General features: G+C 41.9%; 2 protein-coding genes across 52 annotated transcripts in view, besides 2 other annotated features; both read left to right on the plus strand.

Annotated features, from left to right (window-relative positions):
• The window catches only part of RGS6 (regulator of G protein signaling 6), a 762,695-nt gene that overhangs the window by 49,238 nt on the left and 687,376 nt on the right, over positions 1–26,081 (plus strand). For 24 of the 51 annotated variants that reach the window (XM_017021825.3, XM_017021822.3, XM_017021827.3 and 21 more), the window contains exon 1: positions 15,857–16,369. The exons of 1 other annotated variant lie outside the window; for it this stretch is intronic. The gene's annotated coding sequence lies outside the window, so the exon portion shown is untranslated. Of the gene's footprint in view, positions 1–15,598; positions 15,662–15,856; positions 16,370–16,649; positions 16,731–16,954; positions 17,189–26,081 lie in introns of those variants that run through there. 26 more of the 51 variants (NR_135235.2, NM_001370278.1, NM_001370281.1 and 23 more) reach the window with 3 other exon arrangements.
• LOC124903404 (translation initiation factor IF-2-like) lies at positions 15,354–16,318 on the plus strand. The gene is made up of 2 exons (XM_047432046.1): positions 15,354–15,453; positions 15,597–16,318. The coding sequence occupies exons 1-2, from the start codon at positions 15,354–15,356 to the stop codon at positions 16,316–16,318; spliced, it is 822 nt and encodes a 273-aa protein (XP_047288002.1).
• Positions 15,646–15,925: a silencer, noted in NCBI's record as "silent region_5899". NCBI's record gives its function as "represses an Ori minimal core promoter by ATAC-STARR-seq in GM12878 lymphoblastoid cells {active_cell/tissue: GM12878}" and the evidence as "EXISTENCE:reporter gene assay evidence [ECO:0000049][PMID:35858748]".
• Positions 15,946–16,105: a silencer, noted in NCBI's record as "silent region_5900". NCBI's record gives its function as "represses an Ori minimal core promoter by ATAC-STARR-seq in GM12878 lymphoblastoid cells {active_cell/tissue: GM12878}" and the evidence as "EXISTENCE:reporter gene assay evidence [ECO:0000049][PMID:35858748]".

A 26,081-nucleotide genomic window follows, 5' to 3' on the forward strand; every position in this document is an offset into this window, starting at 1 on the left:
ATCTGCAGGCCTGGGAGACTATAATGCTTTAGGAATTCTCCAGACGCCGAGCCCGACCCCATTCAGAGATGGCACCACTGAGGCATGAGGTCTCTGAGAGGATCAGGCAATTAGGGCAAGCACCCCCGGGGTAAACTTGGCAGGGTGGCCCATGAAGGTACCTGGTGGCTTAGTGAGGAGCTGGTCCGTGTCGGGGTCAGCATTGTAGGGCAAAGGGTAAAGGACCAGTGGGGTTTGTTAAAATGCAGATTCCCAGAACACATGCCAAAGTCACTGCATCAGGATCCCTGGATGCATGGCCTGGGATATGAATTTCAAGGAGCTGCCCAGCTGATTCCTAGGTGAGGACCATATGAAAACCTTAGAGTGTACACAGGGTTAAATTAAGGAAATAGAATTCCCTAGCCAGGCAAGAGAATGGCTGAAAATAGGTGGTGAGCAAGCCAGGGTCAGGGATCCATGAGATTCAGAAACAGGATGCCACAGGTCATCACTTTGGGACTGCACTCATGGGTCAGGCTGCTTTAAGATCCTGGGTCATGGATTTTAAAATAGTCTATAGAGTTAATTACCACATGCTTCTGGTATTAGGACCACCTTTAGTATTGGCAATGATCTTAGATACTTCTTTTAACTCACTGGACTGTCCTGCCAGCTGTGATAGTATGGAGATGTGGGGTGACGGTATATGGGTCACCATATCAGAGCTCCCCAGACCTATGTTGGGATCGCATGGTACACATGACAGACCTCATCACAGAGGCTGCCTGGTGGAGGTCACACACCCTTTTCTGCTGCTGCTGCTGTTAAAAGTATACATAAAGCAGTTGGGTAGGGAAAAGGTTTTTACCACAACTATTTACAAATAAAGCCTAAGTAATCAGAGCACGAATTAATCAGACTTCTCTGATGTCAAGCAACAGGAGGTTTGGGGAGATGGGAAGCACCTGGTTTGTCTACCCGCGACCTTGGGAGCTCTCAGGGTTGGTAGAAGTCACAGCTTAGGCTGCAGCCCTGCGTGTGGCCCACCTGCTCCCTCTGTCATCATGTCAGTCTTGACTGCTTTTTAGCTGAAAAAAACAACACAAGTCAAACAATAGCAAAAACTTTGAAAAGTCTCATTAGGAAGAACACAGGGCTGGAACTGGGAGATGTGAGTTCTGTTCCAGGGGTCATCTTTCGGTAGTGTGTCCCTGATCATTTAATGATTCTCCCTGGGCCTATTTTCTTATCTGTAAAATAAGTAGCAGAGACTAACTGCAAATGTTACCAGCTAGGACTTCTTAGCGGTGGGGTTTTCCTGTCAATTTAAGCTTCTCGGCCGGGCGCGGTGGCTCACGCCTGTAATCCCACCGCTTTGGGAGGCCGAGACGGGCGCATCACGAGGTCAGGAGATCGAGACCATCCTGGCTAACACGGCGAAACCCCGTCTCTACTGAAAATACAAAAAAATAAAAAATTAGCCGGGCGTGGTGGCGGGCGCCTGTAGTCCCAGCTACTCGGGAGGCTGAGGCAGGAGAATGGCGTGAACCCGGGGGGCGGAGCTTGCAGTGAGCCGAGATCGTGCCACTGCACTCCAGCCTGCTGGGTGACAGAGCAAGACTCCAGTCTCAAAAAAAAAAAAAAAAAAAAAAAAAAAAAAAAAAAAAAGCTTCTCAAGTATAAGGCCAACTTGGAGGAACTCTCGAACTGTATGTTTTTAAAATGGTGGTTCTTAGATTTTTCAGCTTGAGTTTATCTCATTTAAAAAACACTTCTCATAGTTAACCATCATAGTGAAATTAAAGGCTGCATTCACCATTTACAGGCTTGGTTTCACTTGCTACATTAAATCAGTTGCTAAAGCCTGATTCTGTGAAAAGATTATCCAGTGGATTCCTTCTCTTAATTTTGTTTAGTTTTAGAGACCCCTCAAAGAGAATGAAAATGCGTAGTTTATTGGGATTGAAATTTTACTACTGAAATTGTTTACTTCATTAATTGAGAGGAAAGAGATGCAAACAGAGATGTAGTTTACAGCAAAATAACTTTGTGTTTCCATTTGAGTTGATACAGTAGTTTAACAAAGCTCTCCTACTTTCTCAGCATAAATATTTATATGTGTATATTTTCTTAAATCTTGATCTTTTTCCATTACGTGAAATAGTCTTCATCCCTGGTATGCAAGTCTGTTAAACAATCTATCGTCCTGAAGTTTAACCCCCTAACAATTTCCTTTGGGATTAGTTTTCAATCTTCATTTTAGTCAATTGTTCTATTTTTTACGGATAATATTATTTTACTGCCTTCTAAGATATACATTAAAAAGAAAAGCAAATATATATGGTAAGCAGGGTGTTGAGTTACAATGATAAAGTTCTGTTTGAAACACACCTGATAGTACAAACTCTTCTTTATGGTTAGAGAAAATTTTTCCTTTTTTTTTTCCCAAGAAAGTGATGCTCCCAACAAAACCATATATGATCTACCCCAGTGCTTGGGTAAACAGAAAAGAGAAAAGAGCTTTCTTCCTTTGTGCTCATGTGCCCACAGGGGCTCCGGAAACTCCAAATAAGGAGTCAATTTTGTCATCCACAGCTCCCAGCTTCCCCACGGCTTCTGGTAAGGACTCAGCCTCAGAGGGGGAGAAGAGCAGAGGCTGGTTCTCCCTTTGGCTTGTGCATAGTTTTCCACAGTAAGTGCCCGTGGGGGTGAGGGCAGGTCCCCCTACTCTTATTCTTTACAACAGCCTTCCTCTAACTCTAGGGTGTCTGAGGATGACCTTAGTTACCCATAAAGCTAGTTAGAGCACTGATATTTAGCTCCCAGTGACGGCATTTCTGACTTAGCACATCTCCTCTGGGGATGAGAAAGCTGTATTTTAACCTGTATGTCAACAAGATATAGGGTGTGTGTGTGTGTGTGTGATGTGTATGTTAAGTCTAATGGACAGATAAATAGGAAGTTAATATTTGAAATTTCCTAGCCAGGAATGCCTATTCCAGGAGTAGTCTGAACGTCCATAGACACTCCTCTCTAAAGCCTGCACATGTGTGTGCTGGGGGTGGGAGAAGGTTAATATATGCAGCTTCAACTATATCTCTAATCAACACCAGAGGATTTGTTAGTTAGCATAACACACATTAGAAATAATTTTTTAAGCTGGGCGCGGTGGCTCACACCTGTAAGCCTGGCACTTTGGGAGGCCGAGGAGGGTGGATAACTTGAGGTCAGGAGTTTGAGACCAGCCTGGCCAACATGGTGAAACTCCATCTCTACTAAACATATAAAAATTAGCCAGGAATGGTTGCATGTGCCTGTAATCCCAGCTACTCAGGAGTCTGAGGCAGGAGAATCATTTGAACCCAGGAGGTGGAGGTCGCAGTGATCAGAGATCACGCCACTGCATTCCAGCCTGGGTAACAGAGCAAGGCTCTGTCTCAAAAAAATAAAATAAAATAAAATAAAGAATTTTTTATTGTTGATATGAGTGGTGTTCAATATATGTAGCTAGGTTAGCAATATTACACAGGCAGCTCACCCTTACATGAACAGGGTAAACTAATCATCCTACCCTAGATTTAGGCAAATTCTAACACCTGTGAATTCAGACGCAGGTCTTTGAGATTAATTACCCATAGGACTGAGGAAAAGGTGAGCCTGGGGTACTGATTAATCTGCGCTAGTGGTTATCACACCCAAGGCAGCTCAGCAGCTTTATCATCCAGACCAAAGAATCTACTAAAGGCTCTACTTTTGGCCACCTTTGTCTTCACAATCTGCTATAGAATAATCATATCACATATAAAGGAGGAGAGTTGTGTTGTCCCCATTGTGAGGGGAGTCAAGATGGAAGGAAAACCCCACTGAACAAGTCAGCAAGGGAGCTGGTGAGGAGGGCTGATGGTTGAGTGTATATGATGGAGTCGAGGTCTACTGAAGAGAAAGAGGTAGGAAATAAAGACTTTGTCTGAAAAAAGAGGTCAGAATGCAGAGAAATAGAAATTAAAAAAACACTTAGAGTTAATTGAAAAGAGCTTAAAACCTTTCTGTGAATTCCTTCTTGCATGCGCACACGCGCGTGCACACACACACACAAAGATCAACTTGGGGCAGTTACCCTAAGAATAATAAGTATGTCTGGTTGGGGTATTTTAAATACTAACTGCCTGCTCATGTGTATATTAAATCTAATGGAAATACTTTTGTCTTACTAGAATGCAGGTTAAATACATCGGTTTCTGGGCAATGATTTTTTAGATATGACCCCAGAAGCACAGGCAACGAAAGCAAAAATAGACAAATGGGATTGCCTCAAAGTAAAAAGCTTCTGCATAGCAAAGGAAACAATTAACAGAGTAAAGAGGCAACATATGGAATGGGAGAAAATATTTACAATATTTTGCAAATTATCTGTTAAGGGGGTAATATCCACAATATATGTGAAACTCAATAGCAAGAAAATAACTTGATTTAAAAAAAGGGCAAAGGACCTGAGTAGGACATTTCTCAAAAGAAGACATAAAAATAGCCAACTGGTATATGAAAAAATGCTCAACATCACTAATCATCAGAGAAATGCAAACCAAAACCACAATGAGATATCATCTCATGCCTATTAGAATGGCTATCATTGAAAAGACAAAAAATAAGTGTTAGCAAGGGTGTGAAGAAAGGGAATTCTTGCACTCTGTTGGTAGTAATGTAAATTAGTAAAGCCATTATGGAAAAAGGGGGTTCCCCCAAAGATTAAAAAAAAGGGTTCCCCCAGGGATTAAAAATAGAACTACCGTATTACCCAGCATTCCCACTACTGGATATATAACCAAAGGAAATGGAATTTGTATTTTGAAGAGATAGCTATGCTCCCATGTTTATTGCAACATCATACACAATAGCCAAGATATGGAATCAACCTACATGTCTACCGATGGATGAATAAAGAAATATACAATGGAATATTATCCAGCCCTAACAAAGGAGATCCTGTCATTTGTAACACAATGTGGACAATGTGGATGACCCTGGCAGACATTATATTAAATGAAATAAGGCAGACACAGAAAAATACCGCATGATCTCACTTATATGTGGGATCTGAAAAAGTCAGACTCAGAGAAGCAGAGAGAAGAATGGTGGTTGCCAGAGGGTGGGGAGATGGGAGAAATGGGAAGACATTGGTTAAAGGATACAAAGTTTCAGTTATACAGATACAACGGTTTTTTAAAGCATCACTTCCTGATGCCCCAGCTGAATGCCTCATAAGAGGGACTACAAAAGCGATTTTTGATAGGATGGAAGGGCCCATGGGCTTGTATCAGGATATCTGTGTCTGTGTCCATGTGTGTAGTTTAACACATAGCTTATGGTTGGCAGATTCTCCCAAGCTTTTTCACCCTGTTTTGCTCTCTGTAGACACTGTCACTGCCACGGGAATTTCTCTTAGTTCTGTGGCTTTAAATCCCACCTATTTTTTATTCCTAGTCCCCATCTCTCCCAAAGCACTGAAATGAATATGCAACCTCCCAACAGATATGTCAGACCTAACAGGGTTCCAGACCAAGTGCTGTTCTCCAGCAAACATGCTCCATCTTGTTGTTCTTGACTTTGGTCAATGGCAGTATCATTTTCCGAAGTTTTTAAGGTTGGAATCATCTTTGACTCCTCTCTTCCTCTCACAATCCTCTTCTAATTCATCAACAAGTTTTATCAGCTAAATGTTATTCTGAACTCGACAGGTTCTCATTACTTTTTCCTCTATCAGTGTAACCCAAGACAAAACACCATCATCCCTCACCATACTGGATTACCACAACAGCCACAATCCTTACTGTCTCTCCCCTGTGGTATATTCTAAACACAGCAGCTAGAATGGGAATAATGCATATGATTGTGTTAGTCTCTTGCTTAAAGACCCCGAACAGCTTTCCCTCACACCTAAAATAACACCCAAAGTCTTCATCATGGCCTATGTTAACATCTTACATAACCATAGTACATTTGTCAAAAACTAAGACATTGATACAGGTACAATACAGTTAACTAAACTATAGATTTCATTTAGATATTACTAGTTTTTCTACTAATGCCATTTTTCTGTTCCAGATTCAATCCAGGATAGTACATTGCATTTAGTTATCATATCTCCTTAGTCTCCTTCAGTCTGTGTTAGTTTCTTAGTCTTTTAAAAAAATTATTATGTTCTTGACAGTTTTGAACAGTACTGGCCAGGTATTTTGTAGACTGTACCATGCTCTTTTTGTTTGTTTACCACAGAAGTAAATGTGATGGGAAGACAAAAAACAAAAACAAAACAAAACAAAACAAAACAAAACAAAAAAAGGAACCTAGATGCTATAGTTCTCAAAATTCCATTTCAGAAAACCCATTGAAAATCTTGCTAGAGTTGAGCTTTTTGGGGTTCCTATGTGAATAAGTTCCTGATCCCAGAATCAGGACATGGCAGGACTAAGGAGAACAGGAGAGCAAGGACTAAAAGCTCAGAAGCCTTTTTCCAAAAGCCCCCAGCATATTTTTCCTTCATTTTTTATTGGTCATAATTTCATATCATGGCCACAGAAATGGAACGGCCATGATTAGCTTAGTCTAATGAAGATCCACTCTAGTGGAGGTGGGATTAGGTGTTCTCTGAGTCATGGCTTCTAGAAGGAGGATAAACCAGCAAAGAAGGTGTGAGTAGAGAATTGTCCAGGATGGGGATGGGAAAGGGAATGGGTGTGGTAGACAACAAACAGTGGCTATTACAGAGTCTATATATTCTGTGCATAGGCAAAGTATGAATGGAGCATGGCCTTCTAGGGGTAGGGCATGTCAGAAGTATGATAGTTATCAAAAGAAGCCTGGCATGGATTAAAAAAATTGTGATAGAGCTGGCATGGTGGTGTACACCTGTAATCCCAGCTACTTGGGAGGCTGAGGTGAGAGGATTGATTGAGCCCAGGAGTTTGAGTCCAGCCTGGGAAACATAGCAAGACCTCATATCTATTTTTTTTAAAGTTGTGATATATCTGTACAGGAAGAACTACTCAGCAATAAAAACGTATGAACTGCTGATACGTGCAACATCATGAGTGAATCTAAAAAGACATCATGTCAAGTAAAAGAAGCCTGACACAAAAGACTGCATACTCTAGGATTCAATTTCCATGACAGTCTAGAAAAAGCGAAACCATAGCAACAGAAAACAGATCAGTAGTCACCAGGAGCCAGGGAGGAGGGAGGTGATTGGATCCAAAGGGGAATGAGGGAACTTTTGTAGGGGGGTGGGGCATTAAAATGTTCTACGGATTAAAGAGAAAACTACTCCTGGGTCTTGGGAGATGGTGCAAGATGGGACAAAGGACATTGCAGGAAACCTTCGTGATCTATGCAGGGAATAGTTCTGTTGTCTTGAGATACAAGGTAATCTGCCGAGGATTTTGTTTGGGGAAATGGCAGAAATTTCTTCCTATTATTTATTTATTATTCATTCATCCATTCATTTATGTTTTGAGACAGTGCCTTGCTATGTTGCCCAGGCTGGAGTGCAGTGGTGCAATCATGGCTCACTGGAGCCTTAGCCTCCTGGGCTCAGGTGATTCTCCCACCTCAGCCTCCCCAGTAGCTGGGACTACAGGCTTGTGCCACTATGCCCAGCTAATTTTTTAAATTTTTGTAGCGATGCGGTATTGCTATGTTGCCCAGGCTGGTATTTTTGTAATTAATTTTTTTTCTATGTTTAAGGTGTACAGCATGATGTTGTAATATGCATATGTAAAGTATCATTACTACAGTCAAGCAAATTAACATTTCCGTCACTTACCTAGTTACCTTTTTGGTGTGCTTGGTTAGAGCACCTAAAATCTACTCTCTTAGCAAATTTCCAGTGCACAAGACAATATTATAAGCTATAGCCCTCATGCTATACATTAGATTCCTAGACATACTCATCCTACATAACTGCTATTTTGTCCCCTTTGACCTACATCTTCTCATTTCCATGCCCCCCACCTGCCCTTGGTAACCACTGTTATGCTGTCTGTTTCTATGTATTTGACTTTTTAAAGATTCCACATATAAGTGAGATCATGCAATATTTTCCTTTCTATGTGTAGCTTATTTTACTTAGAATAATGTCTTTCAGTTTCATTCATGTAGTAGCAAATGACAGAATCTCCTTTTTTAAGCCTGAATAATATTCCATGTATATGGAATGTACATGTCTATGTATCTAAATCTACATAATAACAGTTTCTTTATCCATTCATCCACTGATGGACACTTAAGTTGTTCCCATAACCAGAATATTGTTAACAATGCTTCAATAAACATGGCACTGCAGATATCTCTTCAGCATCATGGATTTTATTTGTCTTCGGTAGATACCCAGTAGTGGGATTGCTGGGTCGTGTGGCAGTTCTATTTTTAATTTTTAAGGGAATCTCCACACGTTTTCCATAATGGCTCTACCAGTTTACATTCCTACCAACAGTGTACCCTTTTTTCCACCTCCTTGCCAACACTTGTTATGTTTTGTCTTTTTTTATGATAGCTATTCTAATAGGCAGGAGGTGACACTCATTGTGGCTTTGGTTTGCATTTCTCTGATGATTTAATGATGTGGAACATTCTTTTCATATATGGGTTGGCCATTTTTACGTCTTTTAAAAAAATGTCTATTCAAGTTCTTTGCTCATTTTCTAATCAGATTGTTTTCTTGCGATTGAATTGAGTTCCTAATGTATTTTGAATATTAACCCCTTATTAGACATAAGGCTTGCAGGTATTTCCTCCCATTCCGTAGGTTGCCTCTTCACCCTGCTGTTTCCTTTGCTTTACAGAAGCTTTTAGTTTGATGTAGTCCCACTTGTTTATTTTTGCCTTTGTTGCCTGAGCCTTTGGTATAACATCCAACAAACTTATCGCTCAGGCCAATGTCAAGGAGCTTTCCCCCTATGTTTTCTTCTATGAGTTTTACAGTTTCTGGTCTATGTTTAGGTCTTTAATCCATTTTGAGTTGACTTTTGTCTATGGTGTAAGATAAGGGTCCAATTTCATTCTTTTCCATGTGGATATCCAGTTTTCCCAGTACCATTTATTTAAGAGACTCTCCTTTTCACAATGCATTTTCTTGGTGCCTTTGTCAAAAATTAGATGACTTCATATTATATTATATTATATTATATTATAAGGTTTATTTCCGGGCTTCCTCTTCTGTTCCATTGGCCTTTTTGTCTGTTTTTATGCCAGTATCACACTGTCTTGATTACTACAGCTTACAAAATCACATAAAAATCAATTGCATTTCATTATACCAATGATGATCTATCAAAAATAAATTAATAAAGCAATCCCATTTATGATAGCATCAAAAAGAATAAAATGCTTACAAATAAATTTAACCAAGGAGGTAAAAGATCTGTACATAGAAAACTATAAAGCATTGATAAAAATAAATTGAAGAAGACACAAATAAATGGAAAGATATCTCACGTTCATGATTTAGAAACATTAATACTGTCAAAATGTATATGCTACCCAAAGTGATATACAGATTCAGCACAATCACTATCAAAATTCCAATGGTATTTTTCACAGAAATAGAAAAACACAATTTAAAAACTCATATGGAAGCACAAAGATTCTAAATAGCCAAAGCAATCTTGAAGAAAAAAAGCAAAGTTGGAGGCATACTGATTTCAAATTATCTTACAAATTTCATTTCTATGTTCTTTAGAATATCAATGAAGAGGCTGGGCACAGTGGCCCATGCCTGTAATCACAGCACTTTGGGAGACTGAGGTGGGCAGATCACCTGAGGTCAGGGGTTTTAGACCAGCCTGGCCAACATGGCAAAACCCTGTCTCTACTAAAAATACAAAAATTAGCCAGATGTGGTGGTGCATGCCTGTAATCCCAGCTGCTTGGGAGGCTGAGGCAGGAGAATCGCTTGAACCCAGGAGGCGGAGGTTGCAGTGAGCCAAGATAGCGCCATTGCACTCCAGGCTGGGTGACAGAGTGAGACTCTGTCTCAGAAAAAAAAAAAAAAAAAAAGAGTATCAATGAAGAGTTGGAAAATACAGGACTTGTAAGAGGGTTGACAATACCATGTGAGTTGAACTCTGGTTCTTAAATACCAGCAAAAGGACTTAAATTAATTAGAATATAGTTCTCCTTAATAAAAAGGCTTTCTCTTGTTTTACAGGGTGTTATGCATTCAATTTTAGTGTCCTCAGCTTTTTGGGTTACCTGTGGTCATATATGACTAGGACTTTTGATAGGGTTTCAATGGACACATATTGACTCTATAAAGGATCCTTCTTATTGAAGTATATTCTCTGCTTATTTACCATGGTCCTAACCAAACATGCCTGTCATTGATTCTAATCAACTGTGGAAATCCCAGCATCTAGCAGGAAGGGGACAGAGTGGGATATTTTTGGTCAAGGAGACCTGTCCTCTTTTCAAGTCATATTACATGTGTACCTGCCTATTCTGTGATAATTCTGACTACAAGCTTTGGGAAGGCAGTGGATGAGAGTGTCTAGGAGATGCCTAGGTAAAGAAGCTCGGTCCAAACAACTGGCATGAACAGCAGCCCATGGTTATTTGGGGCCTGGTGTAGGTTTTTAAAAACTTGTTATTGTTGATGTAGATTTTATCCCATTTGTATTGGCTGTACATATACACATCCCTGCATTCTGATTATTAAGCATGGGACTTTGTAAATATGCATTGCACTCTGACATAACATTATTTCCAAGTCTTAAAACATAACTATTCCAGCACTGTGATATAAACACATTCATTCTCAGACACACGGTTTTCAAAACTGTAGATCAAGTGCTAACACTGGAAACAGAAAAAATCCACTTCACATTGCAAAGAGAAAAAAAAATCCACTTCACACTGTAATCAATTTGCTTGCCATACTGTCTCCTTGAGATGGGGATTATGCAATTAGTGGTAACAGAAATGCTGGGCATTCTATGAAGGAAGGGCCCCACAGGCTGTGATTCGCAAATTCTTGTTCAAAAGTAGATGCCCTGGTTCCATCATTAGAAATCGTGACTTATCAGGTCTGAGATGAAGTTCAAGAATCCTTTTTTTTTCTTTTTTTTTTTTGAGACGGAGTTTCGCTCTGTCGCCCAGGCTGGAGTGCAGTGGCGCGATCTCGACTCACTGCAAACTCCGCCTCCCTGGTTCATGCCATTCTCCTGCCTCAGCCTCCCGTGTAGCTGGGACTACAGGCGCGCGCCACCATGCCCGGCTAATTTTTTTGTATTTTTAGTAGAGACGGGGTTTCACCGTGTTAGCCAGGATGGTCTCGATCTCCTGACCTCGTGATCCGCCCGTCTCGGCCTCCCAAAGTGCTGGGATTACAGGCGTGAGCCACCGCGCCCGGCCAAGAATCCTTTTTTTTTAAACCTCAGAAATGATTACCATCTATTTAAGAAACAGATCCAATTTTGTTTATTTTTAATTTTTTAGAGACAGGATCTCACTATGTTGCCCAGGCTGGATTCAAACTCCTGGACTCAAGCAATCCTCCTGCCTCAGCTTTCTGAGTTAGCTGGGATTGTAGGTGTGTGCCACTGCATCTGGTTGTTCAAGACTCTTTATTGCTAAGTTTTAATAAGTACCCCAGGTGTTACTAATTCTGTGCCCTTTGAGCCATTCTCTGAAAGAACCAATTTCTAACATGTCTAATCAGGCATTTATTTTCTTTCAGGATTTAACATGAAGCAAAAGTGACCTGGAATCTTTTCTCCTTTTATTGCCAAAATGCAAAGAAAAGAGTCTTTAGCTCTCAGAAAAAGACTACATTTAAGAGTGAAAATAAGAAAATGTGGGAGTTTGAGGAAAAGTATCATCAGCTGTCAAATGTCATGAATGCGCAGTCTTGGTCAATGGGCCACATGACCCAAAACTCATTATCCTCCCCAAAGCCACCAATATCAATACATGCACCAAATGCATCGACGCAATAGTTTTCTACCTTGGCCTGTCAATGAAGTTATTGAAACTAAATTGCCAACTCATTTCCATTCTTCTGTTCAATTTATCACCCGTTTTGAGAGCTACGCCAATCAATTCTATTACACATTTTCCTGCAACTCCTCACTTGATAATGAAGTAATCAAAAGAATCAGGGTTTTACCTATAAATATTATTTCACTTGATACTTTAGATGAATTTCAGGATCCTTGCATGCAGTGTGCCCTTAATAAGTAATTGCTGAATGAATGAACAAAGTATTGGGCTGAATCACATTATTGTATATATTCACAAAGTAATAGATCAAATCATATTTTTAGTACAGCCAGTCATGAATTGATTCTTAAAATAAACCCATGGTGATCATTTTATAAAAGGGAAGACAATTTTTTTAATTTGGTAAGAACACTTATACTTTAATGTATGTTTTTTAACCTTTCATTTTGAAATAATGTTATAATAAATTACAAAAGCTATAAAAATAATTCAAAGAGCTCCCTTTCCATCTTCTGAGGGTAAGTTGCAGATGTGATGCCCCTTTACCACTTCATATTTCAGTTTCTCCTTCCTAAAAACAAGAACACTCTACTACATACCTTGAGTACAACATCAGGAAAATAACAATGATCCATTTTAATCCATTGAATCCACAGAATCCACTGATTGTGCCACAAAAGTCATTTATAGGTTTTGGATCCCATTCAAGATCACATGCTGCATTTAGTTGTCTCATCTCTTTAGCATCCTTCAATCTGAAACCATCTTTACTATCATAGTCTTGACATTTTTAAAGAATACAGGCCAGTTATTTGATTTTTCTTTCAATTTGCATTTGTCTGATGTTTTATCCTAACTTACATATTTATGCATAAGAAGTGACACTACATTCTCAGCATATCATATCAGGATGCTGCACAAGGCTGATTTGTCCCATCACTGGTTTTCATTTATGTAAAATTTTACCAGTCGATTAAGATGATACCTCCCAAGTATTACAGCTGCATGTTAATAAGTATGCTGTACTTATTAATAATTAATGATGTATTAATGAACATTTTTAGAGATATGCTTTGAGACTATGTAAATATCCTGTTCCTCATCAAACTTTTACCCACCAATTTTAGCATTTATTGATGATTCTGGCCTGAATCAATTATTAAGATGGTGGTTGCCAAATGGTGGTTTTCTAATTCTATCTTTTCTTCTTCATTTATTAGTCGCATTCTACTATAGAGTTCCCTTCTCTGTTTCTATCAGCATGGACTCATGGACTCTTATTTTACTCAAAGGGTTAAATTTGTCATTAACTATTTTACTCCTTAAATAGTTCAAGATTTGGCCAACAGGAACCCCTTCAAGCTGACTTCTGTCTTCTTTTGACATGTCTCCATAATTCTTTAAGTATTTTCTCATTTCCTTGCACAACAAATTATTCTAGTTTCATCCACTATACCAAGGAACTGTGGTTCCTTTCAGTGGAGGATGGTATTAAGAAACCAAGGTCTGAGTGTTAGGTGTGTTCATTGCTACTGGGGTGCCATTGCTTTTAGGCCTTCTCAGTCGACAAACCTAGGAAATATATCACCATATACACACACATATACACTTATATTTTTCTGTCTATCTATCTATAATCTCTTTGGATCCAAAATCATTTTACACCTTCATCTCCAACTTCAAGGCACATAGCTAGATCTCTTGCCTTTCTGTATTGGTAATTCCCTTCTCCAGCAGTGAGATGACTGGCTCCAATTTTCTTAATGTATTTACTTCTTTGCTCAATTCCCTAGCACATAAACCAATCTCTTGGCCATGTCAGCAAAAAATGTGTCCTGTCTCTATTACATACATATATATATAAAATACCCCCCACATACATACACATACATATGAAATCAGATATTTTATGTATAAGAAACCATACTACATAGATATATCAGGAATCCCATATAATACACAAAATGTATCAATATGAAAATACATATCTAATTCCTATAAATATCTGATTTCACATATTTTTTTTTAAAGAGAAGTACACAGTAAGGCTTTCTTCTGATGAGCCTGGAGCCTGCTGTTTATACTTCCACAGTATTATTCCTTCATGCTGTACTTGGCCCTCAAGGAGCTGCTAGCCTCAGAAATGCAGAGTTCCCACTGGGTGTGGTGGCTCAAGTCTGTAATCCCAGCACTTTGGGTGGCCAAGGCGGGTGGATCATCTGAGGTCAGGAATTTGAGACCAGCTTGGCCAACATGGTGAAACCCCATCTCTACTGAAAACACACAAAAAATTAGCTGGCAGGCACCTGTAATCCCAGCTACTTGGGAGGCTGAGGCAGGAGAATCGCTTGAACCTGGGAGGCGGAGGTTGCAGTGAGCGAAGATTGCACCACCACACTCCAGCCTGGGCAACAAGAAGGAAACTACGTCTCAAAAAAAAAAAAAAAAAAAAAAAAAAAAAAAAAAAAAAAAGCAGAGCTCCTCAAAGCGGAAGTTTCCCTAGTTGCTACCTTTCGCTCCATGTACAGCCTATTCTTTAACTGTGACAAACGGCCACAGCCAGCTCCACAACCGGCTTGAGCCAAGTATTGAGCCTGAGGAAAGAAAGATTTTATATTTCAGCTTTAATAAACAACTGGGACATCTGTTACAATTCTATTTTCCTCACTAGGCTGGGTATGGTTTCTCTTGGTTGCAGGTTTCCCCCCACCCCCCGCCTTTCTGTGTACTAAGCCTACCATAACACACATGTCTGCTTGTGTGTTATCCCATTCGACGTGAAGGCTTCAGGGCAGAGACTGCTTCCTTTATTATCCATTTCTAATGTTAGAAGAGGGTCTAACACAGAGCAGGTGCTATTTGTCTATTGAAGGAAAGAATGAATACATCCATTAATCAATGTAGAATGGCGGGAAAAGACACAATTTGGGAAGGAGACTTTACTCTTTAACTTCTGGACCCATGTGAATGAGGAGTCCAGGTCATCCATCGTTAAAGGCATTTAGGTATTTTATTTCAAGTATTTTTCCCCTTTTCTGGTGACATACTACAATTCAGGACTAAATCTCAAATTTATTCTTGATATTGATAGCATTGATATTGCACACAAATCCCACGGTTACCGTCCAGCACTAGTGATCTTGTCCTATTTCCACCTGCAGCTTTTTGAATCTAAGTACACATCGCATTTCAAAACTCCCACGTTAAAGAAAGGCATCAGTTCAAGTTACTTTCTCATTTTCTGTCTTCGACTTTTTTCTGCTTCCCCCAAGAATATCTGAGAGTTACTTTTCTCGAAAGTTCTTTTGTAGTGTTCCAGATAGGAATCATCCTGTAATATTCCAAATGCAGCGTGTGGTGTGCATGTTGAATACATAAAAATGACGAGGTTAGGAACAATATCGCTGACGGTCGCGGTGTCCCGTTTTAATTTAGAGGGCGCCAGCAACACGTCAGTGAGGGAGATTCAGAAGCCGCCGGGCACCTCACCCCGGGCCGGGAATCCCTAAGAGAACCTTGACGCCGCTGAAGTTTCCGGACCGGGCCAGTTTGGAATTGACGAAAGCAGCCTCCGCCCGGTCGAGCCAGTCTCTCGGTTTTCTCGGCGGCTTCTTGAGGATGAGGCATTTCTAGGTTTTCTCCTCCTCGAGCAAATCACGGTCTGCGCCTTCCGCGGCTCTGGGAACAGGTGAGCCGTGCGGCGGCGCCCGCGGGACGCGCTCAGGTGCCGGTCCCCGCCCGCCGGCCCCTCCCTGCAGCACGCGGTCCGGGCCCAGGTGCCGGGGCCCAGGTGCCGGCGCCCAGGTGCGCGGGGCACGGGGCTGCAGCTCCGCTCGGCATCCGACAGCGGGCGCCGCTGCAGCAGCTCGCGGGCCGCGGAGCTGAACGGCTTCGCGAGTTGGGGCAGCTCCTCGCGCTCGGCCCTGCTCGGCGGCGAGAGCTCCGCCTGGGCGCCGCGTTCCTACAGCCGCCGGAGCCGCCAGGCGCCGAGGGAACGGACAGACCTCCGCGCACCCTTGCCGACCGGGGCGGGCAGAGGCGGGCAAGCGGCGAACGCCTGGGAGCGCGGAGAGCCAGGCCAGCCCGGAGCGCGCCGGGGACACCCTGTGCGCCCCGAGTCCCGGCACCATGCGACCCGCCGCGCGTCCTCGCGGGCCCGGGGCTTCGCTCTTCGCTCGCTGAGCCCCTGCGCTCGCCACCACGGAAACTCGGAAAGAGGAGGCGAGGCTGTGGGGAGCGGCGCGGAGACGGACTAGACTTCCCCTCCGCCCCCAAGAGGCTGCCGGTCCCCGGTTCCCTGGGCTTCTCCAGCTTTATCATGAACCTGGCGCAAGGTTGGCTTTAGGAAAAATTCTGGAGCCAGAGGGAGAGTCAAGGCAATTCTTTGGTTGCTAAGGTAATTGTAGTTGTGATAAAAAATGGGCAAGAAACAAATGGGGGAAAAACATGGTTTAAAACAGTATCCTCCCTCCCCACCCCATTAATATGTGTTGATTTCATCTCCTGGGTGTGGGTGCTTGTCCATTTCAGATGCGTGACAGGTGCCCGTGTGTGTGTGTCTGCAGTTTGGGACTGTGGAAGCACGAGCTTACATAAGTGGTTAGGCAAGCTGGCGTGTGGACTTGTGTGGGATGGGTGCAGGTCTGCATATAAATCATGTTCCTGGGTTTCTGGGTGTGAAGCGCACACCGACGGGGACGAGAGCGCAGAGGATGGCGCTTTTAGATACTTCCAGTCTTCCGATGTTGTGATCGCAGGTAGGGCAGCTTTGCCTCTAATCAGGCGTTCATTAACTTTTTCCCTGAACAAGCTCGCCCATTTGTGGTTTGGAAGAAAAGAAAGCGAGTCTCCGCGGTGAGGTGTGGAGGGCAGGGGCGGGTGGGGAGGTTTGTTGTTTGGGAACTGCGCTAGCAAAGGAAGCGGTGGCTATTCGCTTGGAGAGGATGACAAATGAACTGGTTGCGTGAGGAGTGAAGAGACCGTGTTTACAGTCACCAGCAGGCTGCGTAAAGAAGTGGCCCAGTGAGACAGGGAAAGTGACCCAGAAAATTTAGTTTTGTTCAGAATGAAAGCTGCTGTATTTCATTTTTGTTTCTTAATTTGACGGAGTAGGAACGTTATTTTCCTTCTCTGTCATTGAGACCAGTAGCATTTCTATGTTACAAACTGAAGATATTTGGGGTCTCGTCGGCTTGGGATTATCAATGCTTGGGAGGTGAGTTCTGATCAATACCTTTAACAACCCCAAAGAAAAACGCAAAAATAATCAAGTTTAGGTAAAACTTCCACTGGACTTTCTTTCCAGGGAGGGTGAGAGATGGAAGAACTGGGCTTGTAAGTATCAAAATGGAGTTAGAGAATGAGCTACAAGTTTGTGTGTGTATGGTCTGTCAAAAAGTGTTAAGACTGAAAGGAAACTGTTAGGTTTAGTTAAATGTGTTGACAACACGGCTCTTACATATCAATTTTCATAGGCAAATAGGTAATTACATAGAGTGGGAACTGGGACTATGGTGGGAAACTTTCTGTAAGATGTATATTCTTTATTCTTAATTTATCACTTTTTCAATGGGTGGGACTACTCTGTGAAGGAAAGTAGAGGGCTGAGGGACATTTGGTGAGACTCTTGAGAGAGAAACCTTTGCAAGCCAAATCTCGCATGCTATAGATGATAAATTCTAAGTTCTTTGATATTGTACCACTCTTAAGCTAAATTGTCCTGTAAATATGATCTCATGCACCATAAACTATATATATGTAGAGAGAGTCTATTCCCAATAACTCATCCTTTCCTGAAAGAGTCTGCAAGTTCTATAAATGTCAGCTGTTGGGAGGTATTGTGATGAAGGAGAGAGGCCACCAGTGTTTCCTTTTATATATTTATTCTGGCAGATCTTAACTTTACTTCTGATTTTCTTTAAGGAATTTCAGTTAACATTCACTGAATTTATATTGCTGAGAGTTTCAGTAAAACAAGACTAGATTTTCTTTGAAGCAATAAATTCATCTTATCAAGTGAAACATTATGACAATGCTTTTGTGGCAGAAATGTTTATTTAAATGAGTCCATTTTAATTATTTATTTATTTTTGACTTGCAGAATAAGATCTGCAACATAGATGTTTTTGAAGTAAGTAGACGTTTCTTGAGAAAGAAAAATAAATTTAGGTTACTGTGGACAATTTGCCAGTAATTTTGGATGTCTCTTTGTCTACAGGGACATAATTTTGTGTGAAAGTAGAATCATTCCATTTCTTATGTCTCTCATCTTCTCCCATGCATTTTATCCCCTGAACTCCTAAGACTTTGCCAGGAATTGCTGAACATTCTGTTTCGTGCCAGGGGTTAAATATCAGGGGATGGAATAAGGAGCTGTGTGTCACATAAACATTTTTCAAAAGGATGCTGTCAGAGATCTCAATACCGGGATTAATTTTTCCTTTAGCTTTGCAGTTAGCTTGTCTTAATTGGTATTGCTCTGAACCTAGGAATGCATTTAACCTCTTCATTTTCAGTTTCCAGCTGGAAGGAATATATTTACCAAATTTCATCTTCTTTGTAACATATGGCATGATATAAATAATTACTATACACACACTATCCTGCTGTAAGGAAAGAAATAGAATTACAAAATCAACTTTCGTGTTGAGTGATATGGATATAATATTTCAAAAAACAATTTTAACTTTTCCCCTGATTCCAAAAGTAATATTTAGCTATTGAAACAGTTCAGGAAAATACAAAGAAAAAAATAAAGGTTATCCATAATCTGCTAGGGAGAGGGAGCCACTGTTAACATATCTTTAACTGTATATTCTTCCAAATATTATTCTAGTCAATTATTTCTACCCAGTCCCCCTCCCCCACACATTTTTATAAATATAAAATATAGCTTGGAAATATAACTTGGAAATGTGTTAAAGGCTTGGGAATTTACTGCTTGTTTACAGAATGATTTTGATCAGATATTAGTTTTTACTGGTGGTCCTTATTTTCAAAAAGAGTAGGTTCTTTCTTTTTCTGTTCTTTGAAAACAAGTGTTTGCACTTTGGGCTGGTAATGCTTGGGGCTTCCTTTTGAATTTAGGGATTAAAGCATCAGAAAAGAAGTAGAAAGGTCATTGGCCATTGTGGGTGGGAGACCTGAGTTCTGGTTGCAGTTACTCCAACTTCTCCTGTGGCCTCTGGGCCTCTGTTTCCCTAAAGGGCAAAAGGTACTTTTAGATTTAACTAATTAAGCTAATGACGTATTTATTGCTTTGACATGAGAATGATCTTTGAAGAGGGCTTATTCAAACACAGAAACACCTGGGGGTCATCCTGGGAGTCTCTGATTGATTCTGTCTGAGATGGGGCCCGAGAAGGTACATATCTAACAAGTCCCTGGATGATGCTGACTGCTGGTTTGGTGACAGTGAAAACTAGAGGGTTAAGTGTACTAGGGTTCTCTTAGAGGGACAGAACTAATAGGATATATATATATATATATATATATATGTACATATATATCATATATACATATATGCTATATATATGCTATACATGATATATATACATATGATATATGTACATATACCATATATCTATAAAGGGGAGTTTATTAAGTATTAACTTACATGGTCCCAAGGTCCCACAATAGGCTGGCTGTAAGCTGAGGAGCAAGGAGAGCCAGTCCAAGTCTCAAAACTAAAGAAATTGGAGTCAGATGTTTGAGGGCAGGAAGCATCCAGCATGGGAGAAAGATGTAGGGTGGGAGGCTAGGCTCATTTCTCCTTTTCATGTTTTTCTGCCTCCTTTATATTCGCTGGAAGCTGATTAGGTTGTGCCCACCAGATTAAGGGTGGATCTGCCTTCCACAGCCCACTGACACAAATGTTTAATCTCTTTTGGGCAACACCCACACGGACACACCCAGGATCAATACTCTGTATCTCTCAATGCAATCAAGGTGACACTCAGTATTAACCATCAAAAGCCCACCCCTTGTCAACTTGAACCCATACATATCTCCTGAGATCATACATAATCTTCAAATAAAGACAATAATGAGGTCAAAATTGTGCATAACATAATACAACTATCCTTTGTACAACCAGAAATGCACCAATCCCCAATGCAAATACTATTACATAAAGTTAACAATACTTACATGCTGTTGTGAAGTCAATAAATCTTATGTCACATGATAAAGGAAAAGGAAATGAAGATATTTTCTTAGTATGAGTGTATATATACACAAACATGTTTTTAACAAAAGAAGGAGGAAATACTCTTGACAATTACAGTCTGTTTCTGCAGCTGGTCACATGGTCGTAGCTGGTATTGATGACTACCTTCTTCTACCCATTCAGTATTCCTTTTGCCTACAGCAAGCACCTCAGCAGGTTCTTTTCCCTGGTGGAGTGACCCAAACCTTTATTCCTGAAGGATCTGGACCATTTGTAGTCCCGCCTGGATTGGGCTGTTGTAGTTTCCTGTTGACCTTAATCACAGGGCATGGTAATACTGAGAGATGCCCTAATGGATTTCCTGTGTTCCATATGTAGTCTTCCTTACCTCTGCTGTGGAGTAGTAGACTGATTTCCTCTTGATAGTCCAGGTCAATCATGCCAGCCAACACAGTAATTTTCTTCTTAGCCTGTTGACTGAAAGATAGGAGTATCCCAAACTGTCCAGGTGGCAATCTTAACTTCCAGTTTAATGGAATCGTTGTGTTTCCTGGTGGCAGTGTTCCTCCCTCTGGAACTAAGATCTCTAGGCCAGCAGAAGGTAATGTCTTGGGAACAGGAAGCAAAAATTTTGCTAGTGGATCAGTAGGGGTGATGGTGAGTGGTGCCACTTCCACTTCCGCCCCTTGATTCCTGGACCTGTGAATCCTGGCTATAGGAGAAACAGTACCATATATTGGATGCTGATTCAGAGCATACACGGCCCTCTGGAGAACTCTGCCCCAGCCCTGCAAAGTATTGTCACCTAGTTGGCATTGTAATTGTGACTTCGAAAGGCCATTCCACCATTCTATCAATATAACTGCTTCAGGATGATGGGGAGCATGGTAAGACCAGTGAATTCCATGAGCATGAACCCACTGCCACACTTCTTTGGCCATAAAGTGAGTGCCTTGGTCAGAGACAATGCTGCATGGAATACCACGATGGTGGATAAGGCATTCCGTGAGTCCACAGATGGTAGTCTTGGCAGAAGCATTGTGTGCAGGATAGGCAAACCCATATCCGGAGTAAATGTCTATTCCAGTGAGGACAAACCTCTGCCCTTTCCATGATGGAAGAAGTCCAGTATAATCAACCTGCCACCAGGTAGCTGGCTGATCACCCTGAGGGATAGTGCCATATGGAGGGGTCAGTGTTGGTCTCTGCTGCTGGCAATTTGGGCACTCAGCAGTGATCATAGCCAGGTCAGCCTTGGTGAGTGGAAGTCCGTGTTGCTGAGCCCATGCATAACCTCCATCCCTGCCACCATGGCCACTTTGTTCATGGGCCCATTGGGTGGTGACGGGTGGCTGGGGAAAGAGGCTGAGTGGTGTCCACAGAACAGGTCATCCTATTCACCTGATTATTAAACTCCTCCTCTGCTGAGGTCACCCGTTGGTGAGCACTTACATGGGATACAGATAGCTTCACAGTTTTTGACCACTCAGAAAGGTCCATCCACATAACTTTTTCCCAAATTTCTTTGTCACCAATTTTTCAATCATGCTTCTTCCAAGTCCCTGACCATCCAGCCAAGCCATTGGCTACAGCCCATGAATTGATATATAATCGCATATTGGGCCATTTCTCCTTCCATGCAAAGTGCACAGCTAGGTGCACTGCTTGAAGTTCTGCCCACTGGGAAGATTTCCCTTCACCTCTGTCCTTCAGAGATGTCCTAGAAAAGGCCTGTAGTGCTGCAGCTGTCCACTTTTGGGTGGTGCCTGCATATCGTGCAGAACCATCTGTGAACAGGCCCTAGTCTTCTCCTCCTCTGTCAACTGATGATAGGGAACTCCCCATGAGGCCGTGGGTGCAGGCTAGGGGAGAGAAGGCAGGGTGGCAGGAGTGGAGACCATGGGCACTTGAGCCACTTCCTCATGTAACTTACTTGTGCCTTCAGGACTTGCCTGAGTCAGATCACGTATATACCACTTCCATTTGATGATGGGATGCTGCTGTGCACAACCCACTTTATGGCTAGATGGGTCAGAAAGCACCCAGTTCATGATAGAAAGTTCAGGTTGCATGGTGACTTGATGACCCAGTCAAACGTTCAGTTTCCACCAAAGCCCAGTAATAGGCCAAGAGCTGTCTCTCAAAAGGAGAGTAGTTACCTGCAGAAGATGACAGGGCCTTGCTGCAAAGTCCTAGAGTACTCCACTGTGATTCACCTATGGGCGCCTGCCAAAGGCTCCAAACAGCATCCCTATCTGCCACTGACAACTCAAGCACCATTGGATCTGCTGGATCATATGTCCCAAGTGGCAGAGCAGCTTGCATAGCAGCCTGGACCTGTTGCAGAACCTTCTCCTGTTCTGGACCCCACTCAAAACTGGCAGCCTTTCGGGTCACTCAATAAATGGGCCGGAGTAACACACCCAAATGAGGAATGTGTTGCCTCCAAAATCCAAATAGGCCCACTAAGTGTTGTGCCTCTTTCTTGGTTGTAGGAGGGGCCAAATGCAGCAACTTATCCTTCACCTTAGAAGGAATATCTCAACAGGCCCCACACCACTGGACCCCTAGAAATTTTATTGGGGTAGAAGGTCCCTGAATTTTAGTTGGATTTCTTATCCTCTGGCTTGCAAATGTCTCACCAGTAAGTCCAGTGTGTTTGCTACCTCTTGTTCTCTGGATCCAATCAGCATAACGTCAATGTAATGGACCAGAGTGATATCTTGTGGAAGCAAAAAGTGATCAAGGTCTCTCTGAATAAGATTATGACACAAAGCCAGAGAGTTGATATACCCCTGAGGTAGGACAGTAAAGGTATATTGCTAGCCTTGCCAGCTGAAGGCAAATTGCTTCTAGTGGGCCTTATGGACAGGAATGGAGAAAAAGGCATTTGCCAAGTCAATGGCTGCATACCAAGTACTAGGAGATGTGTTAATTTGCTCAAGCAATGAAACCACATCTGGTACAGCAGCTGCAATTGGCATCACCACTTGGTTAAACTTATGATAATCCACTATCATTCTCCAAGATGCATCTGTCTTCTGCACAGGCCAAATGGGAGAGTCAAATGGGAATGTGGTGGGAATCACCATCCCTGCATCTTTCAAGTCCCTGTTGGTGGCACTAATCTCCTCAGTCCCTCCAGGCACATGATACTGTTTTTGATTTGCTATTTTTCTAGGTAGAGGCATCTCTAATGGCTTCCATTTGGGCTTTCCCCCCATAATAGCCGTCACCCTACTAGTCAGCCAATGTGGGGGTTCTGCCAGCTGCTAAGTATGCCTATGCCAATTATGCATTCTGGCCCTGGGGAAATGACCACAGGATAAGTCCAGGGACCCACTGGACACACTATAAGCTGGACCTGAGCTAAAACTCCATTAATTATCTGACTTGCATAAGCCCCTAGCTTAAATGGAGGACCACAATGATGTTTTGGGTCCCCTGGAATCAATGTCAGCTCAGAGCCAGTGTCCAGTAGTCCCCGAAATGTCTGATCATTTTCCTTTCCCGAGTGCAGTTACCCTGGTAAAAGACCAGAGGTCTCCTTGGGGAAAGATGAGAGAAAGATCTACTGCATAAATTTTCAGTCATGTAGTGGAGTCCTTCCTTAAGGGGACCCAGCCTCCCCTTTGTCCAAAGGGTTCTGGGTCTGTAAACTGGCTCAAGTCTGGAAATTGAATGAGGAGCCGTGATTCTCTGTTTTTATAATTCAAATTAGTCTTTTGTCCATTCAACCTAGAAGTTTTCTGTTTGTGTAATTGAAGTAGGAATGCAGTAGGCTTCCTATCAATTTCACTTTTAGGAACACCATGATTAATTAGCCAATGCCAGAGCTCTACATGAGTCAGACTATTCTGATTGCCACTTTGCCTCTGCTGTCCATTATGGTAGTTATGCTCACCTTGCCTTTGATGGTTGAGTGCTGCCACTTGACCCCTGCCACCTGGTCCCTGCCACCTCTGGATCCAATTATTCCCATTTTGTAGTTGAGTGACTGTGGTTCCCACCATTAGATCTGACATACAGAGAATGGCAATTACAGGGCTCTTCAAAGATGCAGGTGCTGCCCTCCCAAGTCTATTTTGCAAGGCATTGGTCAAGGGTATATCTTCTGGACCCTCCCAGCTGGGATGAGTAGGTCTAAAGGGACTAATCCACTCCACCACCCCAATCTCCCTAAGCCTTTGGATTCCTTCCTGTACATTAAGCCAAGGGAGATCAGGCATTTCCAGCTCACTCACAGTGGGCCGCCTTTAAGAGCTTGTGTCTATTTTTCCACAATTTCGGCTCTTTCTCTAGGAGATAAGACTCTCACTTAGTGTAATCTTAGCAGATTTGAGGCTCAGTATCTGCTTCTGAAGCTGGGAGACAGAATCCCTGAGTTCATCATTTTCTTTCATCACTTTGTCCGTTGAACTTAAGAGCAGCCAACCTGCTTCACTGTGTTCCTTGGTTCTCCACATATGGTCAAATGTGCTATGTACAGAGTCGCTAAACTCCCTGCCTCTCATGAGCGGTGAATTAGGAGTGTCAAAGGCATTTATTTTGCATAACTCTCTAAACAGTTTCTGCCAAGGACTATCAGTGTTTTCTATACTATTAGAAGTAGAGTCCTTAGCATTTTTGGGTCTAATCATATTAAGCAGCCAACTCCAGAAACCCCAAAACCAACGAAAGAACTCCATTCTTAATATTCTGTTCATCTAGAACCACTCCTGGTACCAAAATCTGTATTAGGTTTCTCTTAGAGGGATATAACTAATAAGATATATATGTCTTAGGGAGTTTATTAAGTATTCACTTACACAATCACAAGGTCCCACAATAGGCTATCTGTAAGCTGAGGAGCAAGGACAGCCAGTCCAAGTCCCAAAACTGAAGAACTTGGAGTCAGATGTTTGAGGGCAGGAAGTATCTAGCATGGGAGAAAGATGTAGGCTGGGAGGCTAGGCTCCTCTCTCCTTTTCATGTTTTTCTGCCTGCTTTATATTCGCTGGAAGCTGATTAGATTGTGCCCACCAGATTAAGGGTGGATCTGCCTTCCCCAGCCCAATGACTCACATATTTAATCTCTTTTGGGCAACACCCACACAGACACACCCAGGATCAATACTCCGTATCCCTCAGTGCAATCAAGTTGACACTCAGTATTAACCATCACAGTAAGCTCCTTACAGGCCAAAATGCCTGTTTGACTTTTCACAGGCTTTCACAGTAAGCTCCTTACAGGCCAAAAAGCCTGTTTGACTTTTCTTTGCAGCCATCCATCCAGTGCCCCAAAATATACCTGCCAATAGGTGTTCAGTAAGCATTGGTTGAATCAATATTAGTTTTCTCTTATGGAGGAATATCTTTCTGGAGTAGTCAAGACAAAAGAATAATCATCCAGAATTTGGAAACATTAAGCCTGTAATAAGAGTTATAATCATTCATGGACCACACTACTTCAAACTGCAAAGAAAGCAAAAATGCTTATAAGTAGGCAATTAAATTGAACATTAAACCTAATGAGTTACATTAAATAATAACTAGGAATACCTGTTTGAGATGTTACAAACCACAAAGCCTACCAAATACTTCACCGTTACCTCTCTCAGGTCTGGAAGAGGCCATTTATTTTCTACCACATACACATATTTCAAAAAATGGAAGTTTCACTATTAATTACCCTAATTACCAAGGCAGCAGATAAAGCAAGCAATCTCCTTGCTCCCCTCTCCTCATCCCCCATCCCTCCCACCAAGAAAAAAGGCTCATTAGAACTCTACCACCATTCTATAAGATAGGTCCCAATTTTATGAATGAAGAAATGTAAAACTTTAGAGAAAGAAATTAACCTGCATAAATCCACAAAGTGAAGTAGCAGCATCAGAAGTAAGATCCAGGCCTCCTGATACCAAAGGGTGTTGTTCTTTACCACTTCCCTCTGGTGACATTG

Source organism: Homo sapiens, chromosome 14 (genome assembly GCF_000001405.40).
Source record: "Homo sapiens chromosome 14, GRCh38.p14 Primary Assembly".
NCBI lineage: Eukaryota > Metazoa > Chordata > Mammalia > Primates > Hominidae > Homo > Homo sapiens.

Excerpts from the sequence above, each read along its gene's own strand:
- LOC124903404 (XM_047432046.1), top strand. The coding sequence starts at position 15,354 with ATGACGAGGTTAGGAACAATATCGCTGACGGTCGCGGTGTCCCGTTTT. Across the intron at positions 15,454-15,596 it reads GGAGATTCAGAAGCCGCCGG|GCATTTCTAGGTTTTCTCCT; the intron begins GCACCTCACCCC and ends CTTGAGGATGAG.